This window comes from Homo sapiens, chromosome 3 (genome assembly GCF_000001405.40).
Source record: "Homo sapiens chromosome 3, GRCh38.p14 Primary Assembly".
Classification (NCBI taxonomy): Eukaryota; Metazoa; Chordata; class Mammalia; order Primates; family Hominidae; genus Homo; species Homo sapiens.
Window position 1 is genome coordinate 57,872,549 of NC_000003.12, and position 15,088 is coordinate 57,887,636.

General features: G+C 40.3%; 1 protein-coding gene across 48 annotated transcripts in view, besides 2 other annotated features; it reads left to right on the plus strand.

The window, feature by feature from the left end:
• SLMAP (sarcolemma associated protein) overlaps positions 1 to 15,088 on the plus strand; it is a 173,705-nt gene that overhangs the window by 116,240 nt on the left and 42,377 nt on the right. The gene's annotated exons all lie outside the window — the stretch shown is intronic.
• Positions 1,016 to 1,517: an enhancer, noted in NCBI's record as "NANOG-H3K4me1 hESC enhancer chr3:57859291-57859792 (GRCh37/hg19 assembly coordinates)". NCBI's record gives its function as "activates a minimal SCP1, AML or CMV promoter by ChIP-STARR-seq in primed H9 embryonic stem cells {active_cell/tissue: H9 hESC(primed)}" and the evidence as "EXISTENCE:reporter gene assay evidence [ECO:0000049][PMID:30033119]".
• Positions 1,518 to 2,017: an enhancer, noted in NCBI's record as "NANOG-H3K4me1 hESC enhancer chr3:57859793-57860292 (GRCh37/hg19 assembly coordinates)". NCBI's record gives its function as "activates a minimal SCP1, AML or CMV promoter by ChIP-STARR-seq in primed H9 embryonic stem cells {active_cell/tissue: H9 hESC(primed)}" and the evidence as "EXISTENCE:reporter gene assay evidence [ECO:0000049][PMID:30033119]".

The following is a 15,088-nucleotide window of genomic DNA, read 5'->3' on the forward strand; positions in this document are numbered from 1 at the left end:
GTGGAGGTTGCAGTGAGCCGAGGTCGTGCCACTGCACTCCAGCCTGGATGACAAGAGCAAGACTGTATCTCCAAAGACAGACAAACAAACAAAACGATAAATTGGCTTTTGAAGTGATTTAGACCTCTGCTGAATTCTGAACAAAGATGTCATTAATTCCTTTTTACTTGAAAGTCACAAAAGCTGCTTAAATCTGTAACAATTGCAAGGTTATGATATTTTCTTGGTTTTGTTAAGTAAAGGTCATTGTATGTGGTAAAGATTTGTTGATAATGTCTGCGGTTTTTCCCATCAAGCAAATACTTTCTCAGGCATTCTTCTCATTCTGCTCTCCTTTCTTGGAAATGTGGTTTCCCAAGTTTTTATGCTCATAATTTCATTTTGTGGATATTCATGCATATGTGCCCCCCGCTACCCTGCCCCACTACCTCAGGAGCGCTTGGGGGTTCTATGGGTCATACCTGGTAATTAAAACAGACACAAATTCAACAAATCAAATGTTATACTCCTTAGAGATCCTTCAAAGAAACTGAGAATTTCATTTAATAGTTTTCACAGAGCTTCTGTTTTTGCAGTTTCGATACTATAATATTAAGTATAAGTTGAGTATTACTTAGAGACAATTTATTTAATAAATGTGACATATTTCTTTGTCCTTTTAAAACAATATTTGGCCGGGCATGGTGGCTCACGCCTGTAATCCCAGCACTTTGGGAGGCCGAGGTGGGTGGATCACCTGAGGTCAGGAGTTTGAGATGAACCTGGCCAACATGGTGAAACCCCATCTCTACTAATAATACAAAAATTAGCCAGGGGTGGTAGCACATGCCTATAATCCCAGCTACTTGGGAGTCTGAGGCAGGAGAATTGCTTGAACCTGGGAGGCAGAGGTTGCAGTGAGCCGAGGTTGTGCCACTGCACTCCAGCCTAGGCGACAGAGTGAGACTCCGTCTCAAAAAAAAATTAAAAAGTAAAAAAATAAATAAATAAAACTATTTATAAAGCAAAGATTAGTACATCTTTTTGTTACCTTCTGATTACTAAATCTCATTTTCATGGGAAATTGGCACAGGGTCCTGGGGCAAAATAATTGGTGTCCACTGATACCAACTAAAAGAATATCTAATCTAAAATGCAAATCTTTAGGCCAGGTGCTATGGCTCACGTCTGTAATCCTGCTCTTTCATGGGCCTAGGCAGGAGGATCCCTTGAGGCCAGGAGATCAAGACCAGCTTGGGCAACATAGTGAGACCCGTTCCTATAAAAAACTTTAAAAAATTATCCAGGAGAGGCTGGGAGCTGTGGCTTATGCCTATAATCCCAGTACTTTGGAAGGCTGAGGCGGGCTGATCACTTGAGGTCAGGAGTTTGAGACGAACCTGGCCAACATGGTGAAACCCCATCTCTACTAAAAATACACAAAATTAGCTGGGGCGTGGTGATGCATGCCTGTAATCCCAGCTACTCAGGAGGCTGAAGCAGGAGAATCACTTGAACCTGGGAGACGGAGGTTGCAGCGAGCCAAGATCGCACCACTGCACTCCGGCCTGGGCAACAGAGTGAGACTGTCTCAGCAACAGCAACAACAAAAAAATTATCCGGGAGTGATGGCACATGTATGTAGCCCTAGCTACTCAAGAAGCTAAGGTGGGAGGACCCCCTGAGCCCAGGAGTTCAAGGCTCCAGTGAGCTATAGTTGTGCCACTGCACTCTAACCTAGGCAACAGAGCAAATCCCCGTCTCTAAAAAATAAAATAAAATACAAATCTTTAGAAGAAAGATTTTTATTTTGAACTTTTAAGATTTATATTTTGAACCCTAATGAGAGCAGATAATTATCAAAAGAATGTCTACTCAGTTACAATTTGCAAAAATCCTTGTTTTATTTTGTTATTATTACTGGCTTACTTAAAACAAAACAACTTTTTGCCGGTAGTCCCAGCTACTCAGGAGGCTGAGGTGGGAAAATCACTCGAGCCTAAGGCAACATACTGAGACTCCGTCTCTTTGGGGAAAAAGAAAAAAAAAAAAGCCAGTGAGGTGGCTCACGCCTGTAATCCCAACACTTTGGGAGGCCGAGACTGGTGGATCACTTGAGGTCAGGAGTTCAAGACCAGCCTGACCAACATGTTGAAACCGCATCTCTACTAAAAATACAAAATTAGCCAGGCGTGGTGGTGGGCGCCTGTAGTCTCAGCTACTTGGGAGGCTGAGGCAGGAGAATCACTTGAACCTGGGAGATAGAGGTTGCAGTGAGCCGAGATTGTGCCATTGCACTCCAGTCTGGGCAACAAGAGCGAAACTCTGTCTCAAAAAAAAAAAAAAAGCTTTTTACTTTTTAATGTCTATTTTATTATTGAACATTTCACTTAAAATAGTATAAAATACTTAGCTATATTTGTAACACAGAATAAAGTTTGCTTTAAATATACAAAAGGTGTTTGAAGATTTTTGTTGCATCATAGTTTTGGGGGAAAATGGACCAAATAAACATGCAGAGATAGCACAGAATTTATATAAATTACACCAAATCCCTTCAGTGGGAATGTTAGAAAGTTATTAAAATGATGTTTATGAGGACTGTGTAATAGCATGAGAAAATACTAAACAGGTAGTACCTACATACAAGAAAAAAATCAAAATATAAAATCCCATTTTTGTGTACAAAGGGTGGACCAAAGAACAGCGAAAAAAACCAGGCACAGTGGCTCATACCTGTAATCTCAGCACTTCAGGAGGCAAAGGTGGGAGGATTGCTTGAGCCAGGAATTTACAGCCACCCTGGGCAACATAGTGAGACCCCATCTCTACAAAAAATTAGCTGGCCATGGTGATAACATGCCTGTGTCCCAGCTACTCAGGAGTCTGAAGCAGGAGGATCGCTTAAACCCATGAGGTTGAGGCTGCAGTGAACCATGATCACACCATTGCACTCCAGCCTGGGCTACAGAGCAAGACCTGTCTCAGAAAACAAAAACAACAACAAAACAAAAGAAAATAAGTATTCCCAGACATCTGAATCCTTTCGGTCCCTGAGTGCAAACAGAGAAAGTTTGGGCTATGAGTTCAGGTAGCTAAGGAGAGGCCTACTATTGAAATCTGTTTGGTTTCTGAGTTTCAGGTAGCAAGTAGTAAGAATTTGGTTATTGGTGATTCCAGAGGTATTTCAAAACTTTCCAAATCTGTTCGTTTCCTTAAATTTGGGTAACCAGAGTTGGGAAAGTGAGGGTTGACTCTGGTTTGACTTGTCAGAAGGGACATTTTGTCATTTTATGACATGCTGCCATTGTAAAAATTGTTGTGTTTAATAAGTATTTTTAATATTATAAGCAAGACAAATTCAGCAAATATCTTAAGTAAATTTATACTCAAGCACTTTTAAAACAATTTTGGATTACATATTAACAAGTTCACACAAGGTTTTTTGCCATTATTTTCATTGATAGGTATCTTGAACTGATTTATAATTTTGAATATGAAGTAAATATTTGTGTGCAGTGCTGCTTCATATTTCTTGTTTCCAGTCTTTTAAAAAGCAAATGTTAAATACCTAGCCTTCATTATTTATTAGTGCTTCTATAGTATAATTCACCTTGTGTTTTAAAAATTAGAAAGCAAATCATTTATTTCCATAAGGTTTTCCATGTCTGTCTTTAATATGATGACAGATTTTTCAGTTTATGTGTATGAATCTATAAGAGAACAATTTGGTTGTTGGCTCTTTCCATTTAAAAGTTGTAGAAAATAAATGAATTGAAACACATTTCAATTTGTTTTCCTTTTATGGTAAAACAGACTTTTTAAAGAAAAACTTCTCTTTTCTAAGAAAAACTTTAAATTCCAGACAAAGAAATTGGACTTTGAACAGAGATTTAAATAATGTTTTGCATAATTTCAGAACTGTAAAGTAAATATTCTCTATTAAAAGATCTTTACCACATATAATCTAGAATTAGGAAGTCACTTCAGTAAAACTTGCTAAAAAAAGCTTCAGCAATATTTTCCTCTTCAGGGATTCAGACATGAGCTTGGTTTAGGCAAAACTCCACATTTAGTGTTCTCTGCAAATTTTAGTTACTTAAAGTTTACCGTATAAACTTAATGGATACATTGAAACTTTTTGTGTTCTGCTAAAGATGTTTTCCAAATTAAGAAATAATGTATCTCTAAATCTGTTTCATACATATCCATGAACTCTGTCACTTGATTAACTTGTACGCGTGGTGGAAAGATGAAGGGTGAAAGGACATGGAGAACTGCCATCACTTGGTGGGCATAGAGTGAGAGATAGCCTTCTCTGGACTGCTGCCTGCCCCTTTGATTTCTTTTGCTACTGTCTGTTCTAATGAGGAGAGAGGCATCATTGCCAGATGCCAGAGAAATTTTCCTGAGGTCTACTTTGTAGAGACAAACTGCCCACTCCCCAAGGGCATCTCTCTCAATGGTAGAGTTAATCAGTGCCCTGAAGTAGACCTCATGCCTTTGTATTCTTTTTTTTTTTTAACACCTGAGATCTGAGGATGTATTCTTAATCCGTGTTTGTTATTATTATGAGACTTAACTTTTTGTTGTTATTAGTTTAATATTTTATGTCTTACTGTTTTTTTCCTGATTTTCAGAAAAATCTTTCTCTCTGCCTCCCACCCCCATAACTAGGAAAAATTATAGTCACTATCTGTATATGCTTTTCTCATTCCCTCCTTTCTCTTAGGGCTTTGCTCTCACATAGAAATTGCCTTATTTGGAGTAATGCATTGAATTGATGTTGCTTATGTGACTGAATGTTTATTTTTCATCACTCTGTGAGGTCAGCCTCTCAGAACAGTCTCAGTATTCTGATTACGTATTCTACTCAAAACAGATTTTTAGATTTTCATTTTGTAAACTTTTATTTCTCTAAGCCAAAGCAGTTTATGGCAAATAATAGAAAACATGTATTGTGTTTCCCTGCTCGTAATATGTTATGTCCCTGTAATAGGAAAACTCTGAGTGTCAGCTAGGTGCTGCTAATTTTATTTTTTTATTCTCAGAGTGGTTTATTCAATCTAAGATGTATTAGAGAGTTGTTTGTACTGATCATTTCCCTAGTCAGCCCACTTTCTAACATATCTACCAGATTTTCTCCCATTATAACTGCCCAGGTGACAATCTTAAGTACATGCCAGTGGTGTTTTGGTATGTGTACTGTTGCTTTTTAAAAAAGATCTGTTTCCATATTCTTGAAATTGGTCCCTTTCACTTTGTTTTCAGTCTATCTTTGAATTCTAAATGCTTTTTTCCTTCTTTTTTTTTTTTTTTTTTTTTTAAACAGAGTCTCGCTCCGTTGCCCAGGCTGGAGTGCAATGGCGTGATCTCGACTCACTGCAACCTCCACCTCCTGGGTTCGAGCAATTCTCCTGCCTCAGCCTCCCAAGTAGCTAGGATTACAGGCACCCGCTACCATACCCGGCTAATTTTTTTTTTAATGTATTTTTAGTAAAGATGGGGTTTCACCATGTTGGCCAGGCTGGTCTCAAACTCCTGACCTCAGGTGATCCACCTGCCTTGGCCTCTCAAAGGGCTGGGATTACAGGCATGAGCCACTGCACCCGGCCTCCTTCTTAAATTTTAGGACAAATAGCTTCTGGAACTGTTTTTATGAAAAGGCACAACATCTTCTATAGCAAGAGTTACTTTAACTGATTAAATTTTGCTGCAGAAATGAGTAACCTTATGAAAGTCTGTATTATTAAAACTGGGAACCTCACAGAGCCTCTCCTATGAGGTTCTATGTCTCTATTTCTGTTTTGTTAATTATTTCAGAAGGGAAATAATTTTCTGGTTTGAATACCGATTATAACAATTTGTGTATTGATATTCTAATCTCAGTTTCTTCATCATATTTTCTCTTGGTGATCTTTTAGGTAATGTTAACTCATTTCTGTTTATGATGTTTAGAATTCAATCAGAGGGATCTTGATGTGAATTCTGATGCACTCTCTCACTGGCAGTATGATTGTGGACAATACTGGGCAAATTTACCTCTTTAAACCTTGATTTCCTCATTTATAAAGTGGGATGGCAGTATCTCTCATAGAATTATGAAAATTAATTGAGATCGTATTTACTAAGTGCTCTAAGTAATGCATGACACACTGAAATGTACATTAGTTAGCAGGCAGAAAACATGTTGGAGAGGTGTAGAAGCTGTGCATAATTACCAGTATGCATGCTATTTAAAAAATTTGGTGTCAAGAACATTATTTTGATGTCCCAGTCATAGCATTTTCTTAATGAAACCCAATTTTGAGACTTAGAAATATTTTCCAGGTTGGCAGTTACAGCAGCAGATTGTCTGGTTCTTTTATATTCACTCCCTCCTCTCTTCCAATCAGTTTGTTTCAGATCCCTAGGAAACTGACATCAGTATCAGATAGTCTGTGCTATTTGGGTTTATCTTCTGCTTTAGTTTCAATTAGTTGTAGCTGTCAAGTAAGGAAAATGGCTTTTTAGCTTTAAGAACTCAATCCAATCTTGGCATAGCTGTCTCAAACTTCTGGGCTCAAGTGATCCTCCCAATTTGGCCTTTCAAAGCATTGAGATTACAGGCATGAGCCACCATATTCAGCCTCCTTTGAACTTCTTTTGAGTGTATTGTTTGTATTGTTTCTCATTTTTAATTTTATGCCACATAGTAATATGGTTAGTACATAATTTATTTCTGTCAATCAAGAAGTAAATTTGGTTCTCTCTGTTCAGTCTTTGACAAGATTTGATAGTCTTCTGACTAAATGCTTAGATGATGGTACTTACATGTCAAACATATTATACTCTCAGTTCTACTCCTTGGTAGGTTCCCTACAGAGATGCCTGTGCATCAGGTACAAATTCAAGAGTGTTCATAGCAGCATTATTCACATTAGATCCAAACTGGAAACAGCCAAAAAGACCCTCAGTAATTAAATGGACAAATACACTGGGGCATATTGGGCGGAAAAAAAGCCTGACACACTATATGGTTTTCCATTTATATAAAGTTCAAAACTACTAAAATCATATTATTTGGTCATGTATATTTGGGTAGTGTGACTATAAAGAAATATAAGAAATTAAATACCATGAAAGTCAGGATAGGCCAGGCGCAGTGGCTCATGCCTGTAATCCCAGCACTTTTGGAGGCCGAGGTGGGTGGATCACGAGGTCAGGAGTTTGAGACCAGCTTGGCCAACATAGTGAAACCCCATCTGTACTAAAAATACAAAAAATTAGCTGGGCATGTGTGGCGGGTGGCGGGCACCTGTAATCCCAGCTTCATGGGAGGCTGAGGCAGGAGAATTGCTTGAAACTAGGAGGTGGAGGTTGCAGTGAGCCAAGATCATGCCACTGCACTCCAGCCAGGGAGACAGTGTGAGACTCTGTCTCAAAAAAAAAAAAATAAAAATAAAAAGCACACAGAATAGTAGTTACCTTTATGGGAGAGGAAGGGATTTTTATTGGAGGGAAGGGCTTCCTCCCTGTGGAGGGCCTTAGGGATTGGTGGGGTGGTTCTATTCCTGACTTGGGCTGCAGTCACATAGATATTTGCTTTATGAAAATATATTAACCTATACCTTTGTGTTTTATGTTCCTTTTTGTATGTCATTTTTGTTTTGTTTTGTTTTGTTTTGTTTTGTTTTGTTTTGTTTTGTTCTTGAGACTGAGTCTCACTTTGTTGCCCAGGCTGGAGTGCAATGGCACGATCTTGGCTCACTGCAACCTCCGCCTCCCGGGTTCAAGTGATTCTCCTGTCTCGGCCTCCTGAGTAGCTGGGATTACAGGTGCATGCCACCACGCCCAGCTAACTTTTGTATTTTTGGTAGAGATGGGGGTTTCATCATTTTGGCCGGGCTGGTCTCGAACTCCTGACCTCAGGTGATCCGCCCGCCTCAGCCTCCCAAAGTGTGGGGATTACAAGCATGAGCCACCATGCCCAGACTTGTATGTCATTTTTTATAATAAATATGGTTTTAAAATGGTGGAAAATGAATAATCACCTCTCTAGAGTATTGCTCAAAAAAGAGAGTTTTAAGGCCATGTACAGTGGCTTATGCCTGTAATCGTATTACTTCAAGAGGCCAAGGTGGGAGGATCGCTTGAGTTCAGGAGTTCGAGACCAGTCTGGCCAACACAGTGAGACCATGTCTCTACAAAAATAAAAATAAAAATAAATTAGCTGGGCATGGTGGCACATGCTTGTAGTCATACCTGCCCGGGAGGCTGAGGTGGGAGGATCGCTTGAGCCCTGGAGCGGGAGGCTGCAGTGAGCCATAATTGCAACACTGCACTCCAGTCTGGGTGACGGAGTGAGACCTTGTCTCAGAATTTTTAAAAAAAGAGTTTTAGGGCTGGGCGCAGTGGCTCAAGCCTGTAACCCCGGCACTTTCGGAGGCCGAGGTGGGCAGATAACGAGGTCAAGAGTTCAAGACCAGCCTGAGCAACATGGTGAATGAAACCCCATGTCTACTAAAAATACAAAAATTAGCCAGGCATGGTGGCGCGCGCCTGTAATCCCAGCTACTCAGGAGGCTGAGGCAGGAGAATCACTTGAACCCAGGAGACAGAGGTTGCAGTGAGCTGAGATAATGCCACTGTACTCCAGCCTGGATGACAGAGCGAGACTCCATCTCAAAAAAAAAAAGTTTTAAAAAAGAAGAAAGAAAGCCTTCTACTCTATCGCTCTTTGAGTTGTACCAAGTTAGATAGGTCTTTGAAGACCTGCAGTTATCATGACAGGAAAATTCTTTCTTGAGTCTCTGAAGGGGTAAAGTGAGAGGCAGAGATCTCTGATCTCACCTCGATTGTATGTATTACACTTGTGACTCCCAAAGCATTGAGGTCTCTACACCAAGTTGGAGACTCAGTGGTTACAGACTGTTTTAAACTAGATTTTTTATTTATTATTATTTTTTGAGACGGAGTCTTGCTCTGTTCGCCAGGCTGGAGCGCAGTGGTGCGATCTCGGCTCACTGCAACCTCCACCTCCTGGGTTCAAGCGATTCTCCTGCCTCAGCCTCCCGAGTAGCTGGGACTACAGGCACGTGCCACTATGCCCGGCTAATTTTTGTATTTTTAGTAGAGACAGGGTTTCACAGTGTTGGCCAGGATGGTCTCGATCTTGACCTCGTGATGCGCCCACCTCGGCCTCCCAAAGTGCTGGGATTACAGGCATGAGCTGCTGCACCCGGCCAAAATATATTTTTTCTTTATTTACAGGCCTCTAGTGATTCACAAGATTTGAAAATATAACTTTAAATAATTTCAATGGTGATAATAGCAGCTAATTAGCCAGGAGCAGTGATTAATGCCTGTAGTCTCAACCAACTGGGAGGCTGAGGCCAGAGGATCGCTTGAGCCCGGGAGTTAGAGGCTGCAGTTCACAGTGATCATGCTGTGAAAAGCCACAGTACTCCAGCCTGGTCAATGTAGCAAGATGCCATATCTTAAATAAATAAATAAATAAATAAATGCAGCTAATCATTATTTAGTACTTATAAACCAGTACTGTTCAAACTTTTTATATATATTATTTAATCCTTTTTTTAGGATGAGGAAACACTCAAATAATTTTTTCTTTTGATCCCTTTAAACATAGATGCTCAATTGATTCATTCTACAAAGATTAATTAAACATGTATGTACCAGGCATTATTTTAACTGTTGGGGTTATTAGAAGTGAGTAAGACAAAGAAGGCTTTGCCTTCATGGAGTTTACAAGCTCTTGAGGAGACAAAAAATAATAAACCAAAAAATTAATATGTTAGGAAGTGATGAGTCCACTGAAGAAAACAAAGACTGTAAGGGGATAGGGAACAATAAAGGTAGTAATGTGGCTGAACAGATATGGGACTAAGCTGAGTTGTATGTGTGTCTGGAGAAAGTGTGTGAAATAAAAACCATATGAAACCCTAAGACTGAGATTGGAGTTTTAGAAGAACTTAAACACCTTTTTAAAATAAAAGGCCAGATAGTAAATATTTTAGTCTTTGCAGGCTGTAAGGTCTCTTGGCAGCTACTCAGTTCTGCCATTATAAGGGAAATTAGCCATGGACAATATGCAAATGAATGGACCTGGCTGTGTTCTCATAAAACTTTATTTGCTAAACAGGCAGCAGGTTGGATTTGGCCCTGTGGGGGTATAGTTGACTGACCCCTGGGATAGATCTCAAGGGACCTTGTAGGCCATGATAGGAACTTCAGATTTTTTTCTAAGGGTGAGAGAGTTTGGAGCAATAAATTACAATCTTCTGATATGTGTTTATAATTTTTAAACATGTCAGTATGTAGATCTTCAACATACTAGAGAAAGACTAGAATAGCTTTCAAAGCTATTTGTGTTTATACTATTTTATTATCTGCTGTGTTCATGTAACAGGCATTTGCAAACAACTATTATGTGTCAGAAGTGTGTTGGGAATTAAATTATTAAAAAAAAAAACTTCTCTACTTTCACCAGACCCTAAATTCCTATATTTCTCTCATTTATCTTGGTAATCCACAGTGAGTGCCTGGTGCATAGTAAATATTTGAAAGAATGAGTATATTCCCTCAAGGAATTCATAGTAAGTTGGGCAAGGTAGACATAATGAATAGTTGCAATATACCTTAAGAGAGATAGGAATAGAGGCTTAGTGAGGAGAGATTCCAAACATATTTAGGAGAAAGGAAGAGAAGATAATTTCAGTTTTAGACATGGTGAGATTTAAGTCCCAGTGGTATTTCTGGGTGAAGATGTTTGGAAAGTAGTTGGACAATGGACAATAGGGTCCTGGGGCCAAAGAATGCTAGACTTAACATCAACATTTAGAAATTACTCAAGGTAGTTAAAGCCATTAAAAAATGTTGTTGTTGTTGCTGACAGAGATCTTAAAGGCTAATGCACATATTTAGATTATAATCAGAGAAAGGGAAAGGCAATAAAAGCCTAAGAAGGAAGGAATGAACAAGCACATAAAAGTAGGAGTGAGTGATATCCTAGAAGTTAAAGTAGTAGTGTTTCCAAAGGGAGGCAGTAAACTTGATTAAATACGGTGAATGGACCCATTCATAGTAAAATATTATAAAAAGCATAAGTCACAAGCACAAGAGAATGGGAGAGAAGACTACAGTGGATAATAGATGCCAACAAAATTTTGGAAAATGTGAAACATACAATTGAGTAGTAAGAGATATGGGTTTCCACTTTCTCTTTTCTGAAGGCCTGCAATGGGGTAAAGGAAACTTCAGAAAACCAAGTTAAAACTGTGGCTAAGGGGCACTTAATACCTGTCAGGTAGGGCAGGAATGCATGGTTGCTAAAAACAGGATTAAAAGTTTATATAAGGAATAATTTGAACTATTTTCTTATTTTTCTTCTTCTTTTTTCTTTTCTTTCTTTTTTTTTTTTTTTTGAGACAGGATCTCTGCTGCCTAGGCTGTAGTACAGTGGCATGATCTTGGCTCACTGCAGCCACAACCTCGCAGGTATCGATCCTCCCATCTCAGCCTCCCAAGTAGTTGAGACTAAGGGCATACGTCACCACACCCAGTTAATTTTTCTATTTTTAGTAGAGACAGGGTTTTGTCATGTTGCCCAGGCTGGTTTCGAGCTCCTGGGCTCAAGCGATCTGCCTGCCTCGGTCTCCCAATGTGCTGGGATTATAGGCGTGAGCCACCACACCAGGCTGATACTTTGTATTCTTGTCCATGCAGACAGACAAGTATCTCTTTCTTTATTCAGAAAGACTGAAGGTTTGCTCTCTGGAGGCTGAAATGGAGAGTCTGTAGACTGGGGTATTTCAGATATGTCTGAGGGGGTAGGTATGAGCATCTCACTGGGGAAAAGTGGGAGAGTTAAATGAAAGTCTCTGTACTGAATCAGAATGCTCGTCAACAGGCTTATATTCCCCAGAAAGGCAGCTGCAGGGCTCTACTCCAGAGAAACCAATCAGACAAAGAGAAACACATATTGATACTGATATTTAAACTGTCCCAAAGTGTTTAAATAACTTAAATAGCAATTTGGGAGGCCAAGGTGGGCAGATTGCTTGAGCTCAGGAGTTCGAGACCAGCTTGGGCAACATGGCGAAACCACGTCTCTACAAAAAATGCAAAGAATCAGCCGGGCATGGTGGTGTGTACCTGTAGTTCCAGCTACTTGGGAGGCTGAGGTGGGAGGATGGCTTGAGCCCAGAAGGTGGAGATTGCAGTGGGCAGAGATCACGCCACTGCACTCCAGCCTGGGTGATAGAGCCAGACCTTGTCTCAAAAAAAAATAAAATAAAAAAATAAAAGTCTCCCAACAAACTGCCATTGTGTGGCCCAGTGGGTGTAATAAGCCCTGCAAATGCATGTAAGACTTTGTCAGCTTCTTATTGCCTCACCCTTGAATATGAAGAGAAAGCCAAGATCAGACTTTTGAGGAAATTCTTTCTTGACAAAGACAGAGATCAAACCAAAAAACAAACAAAAAAACACACACAGAAAAATGTGAGTAGGGAAGAAATAGGAAAAAGGTAAGAAGCAGAAATTTTTTTTTTTTTTTTTTGAAACGGAGTTTCGCTCTTGTTGCCCAGGCTGGAGTGCAATGGCACAGTCTCGGCTCACCACAACCTCCACCACCCAGGTTCAAGCAATTCTCCTGCCTCAGCCTCCTGAGTAGCTGGGATTATAGGCACCCACCACCACGCCCGGCTAAATTTGTATTTTTAGTAGAGACAAGGTTTCTCCATGTTGGTCAGTCTGGTCTCGAACTCCCGACCTCAGGTGATGCCCGCCTTGGCCTCCCAAAGTGCTGAGATTACAGGCGTGAGCCACTGCACCCAGCCAGCTTGTTTGTTGTTGTTGTTGTTTTGTTTTGTTTTGTTGTTGTTGTTTTTGTGTTTTTTTTTTTTTTGAGACAGAGTCTTGTTCTGTCGCCCAGGCTAGAGTGCAGTGGTGCGATCTCGGCTCACCACAACCTCCACCACCCGGGTTCAAGCGATTCTCCTGCGTCAGCCTACCGAGTAGCTGGGATTACAGGCACCCACCACCACGACTGGCTAAATTTGTGTTTTTAGTAGAGACAGGGTTTCTCCACGTTGGTCAGGCTGGTCTCAAACTCCCGACCTCAGGTGATCCGCCCGCCTGGGCCTCCCAAAGTGCTGGGATTACAGGCATGAGCTACCGCGCCCGGCCATCTTGTTTTTGTTGTTGTTGTTATTGTTGTTTTGCTTTTCGGTTTTTGGTTCTTTTTTTTTTTTTTTTTTTTTTTTTTTTTTGAGACAGAGTCTTGCTCTGTCGCCCAGGCTGGAGTGCAGTGGTGCGATCTTGGCTCACTGTAAACTCTGCCTCCCAGATTCAAGCGATTCTTCTGCCTCAGCCTCCTGAGTAGCTGGGATTACAGGCGTGCATCACCATGCCCAGCTAATTTTTGTATTTTTAGTAGAGACGGGGTTTCACCATGTTGGTCAGGCTGGTCTCGAACTCCTGACCTCGTGATCCACCCACCTTGGCCTCCCAAAGTGCTGGAATTACAGGCATGAGCCAATGCGCCCAAGAAGCAGAAACTTTTTTAAAGATATAATTTTTTTTTTTTTTTGAGATGGAGTCTCGCTCTGTTGCCCAGGCTGGAGTGCAGTGGCATGATCTCAGCTCACTGCAACCTCTGCCACCCAGGTTGAAGCAATTCTCCTGCCTCAGCCTCCTGAGTAGCTGGGATTACAGGTGCCCGCCACCTGGCTAATTTTTGTATTTTTAGTAGAACCGGGTTTTCACCATGTTGGCCAGGCTGGTCTCGAACTCCTGACCTCAGGTTATCTACCCACTTTGGCCTCCCAATGTGCTGGGATTACAGGCATGAGCCACTGCACCCAGCTTAAAAGTATAATTTTTGAAGTTTTATGGATGAAGCAAGATAAAGATGGTATTTTTTAAAGGAGCAAAATGCAAATAGAATTTTTGAAAGCTAAAAATATGATACCAGATTTTTAAAAACTGTAGGAAGATTGAGGAGAAGGTAGAGGAAATGTCCCAGAAAATATAAGAAAAAGGCAAGAGGTTTTTTTTTTTTTCAAGAGGGAAAATTAAAGAAAATTTGAGGTTTAATCCTAGAGATCTAATATATTAATAATGAATTCCAGAGGGGGAGAATAAGGGGGAGAGAGAGAATGGAATAATTTACCAATTAAGTAGAATACAAGATAATTCCCCAGAAGTGACAGATACGAGCTTATAAACTGAAAAAAAAAATGCACCGAGTACTTAGCACAATATATTTTAAATGACCACACACTAAGCCAGACACAGAATGTCATGTGTTATATTGTTTTATTTATATGAAATATCTAGAACGGGTAAATCCATAGAGATAGCAAGCAGATGTGGGACTGCCAGGGACCGGTGAGGTGGAGGTGGGGAATAAATGCTTAATGGGTATAGGGTTTTTGTTGGGTAATGAAAATGTTTTGGAACTAGGCACAACATAGTGAATATACTAAATTCTACAGCATTGTTCATATAGTTGTTTTATGTTATGTGAATTTCACCTCATTTAAGGAAAAAAAAGAGAAAAAAGAGACTACACACTGAGGAATATGAAATTTAAGAGCACCAGGAATAAAGAGAAGATTCCGAAACCTTCTAGAGAGAAACAAAGGATATCATATAGTCATAATAAGCTAAATTTATAATATAGTAATAAATAAGCCATGAGATTTTTTTTTTTTTTTTTGAGTTTCACTCTTGTTGCCCAGGCTGAAGTGCAATGGTGTCATCTCAGCTCACCTCAATCTCCGCTTCCTGGGTTCAAACGGTTCTCCTGCCTCAGCCTCCTGAGTAGCTGGGATTACAGACATGCGCCACCACATCCAGCTAATTTTGGGGTTTCTCCATGTTGGTCAGGCTGGTCTCGAACTCCTGACCTCAGGTGATCCGCCAACCTCGGCCTCCCAAAGTGCTGGCATTACAGGCATGAGCCACCATGCCCAGCCAAGCCATGAAATCTTAATGGCTCAACTAAACAAACATTTATTTCTCATTCACACTACATGTCCATGGTGAGGAAGACCACTCTGCTCCATATTGTCACTCAGAGATCTAGACAGATGGAGTCTTT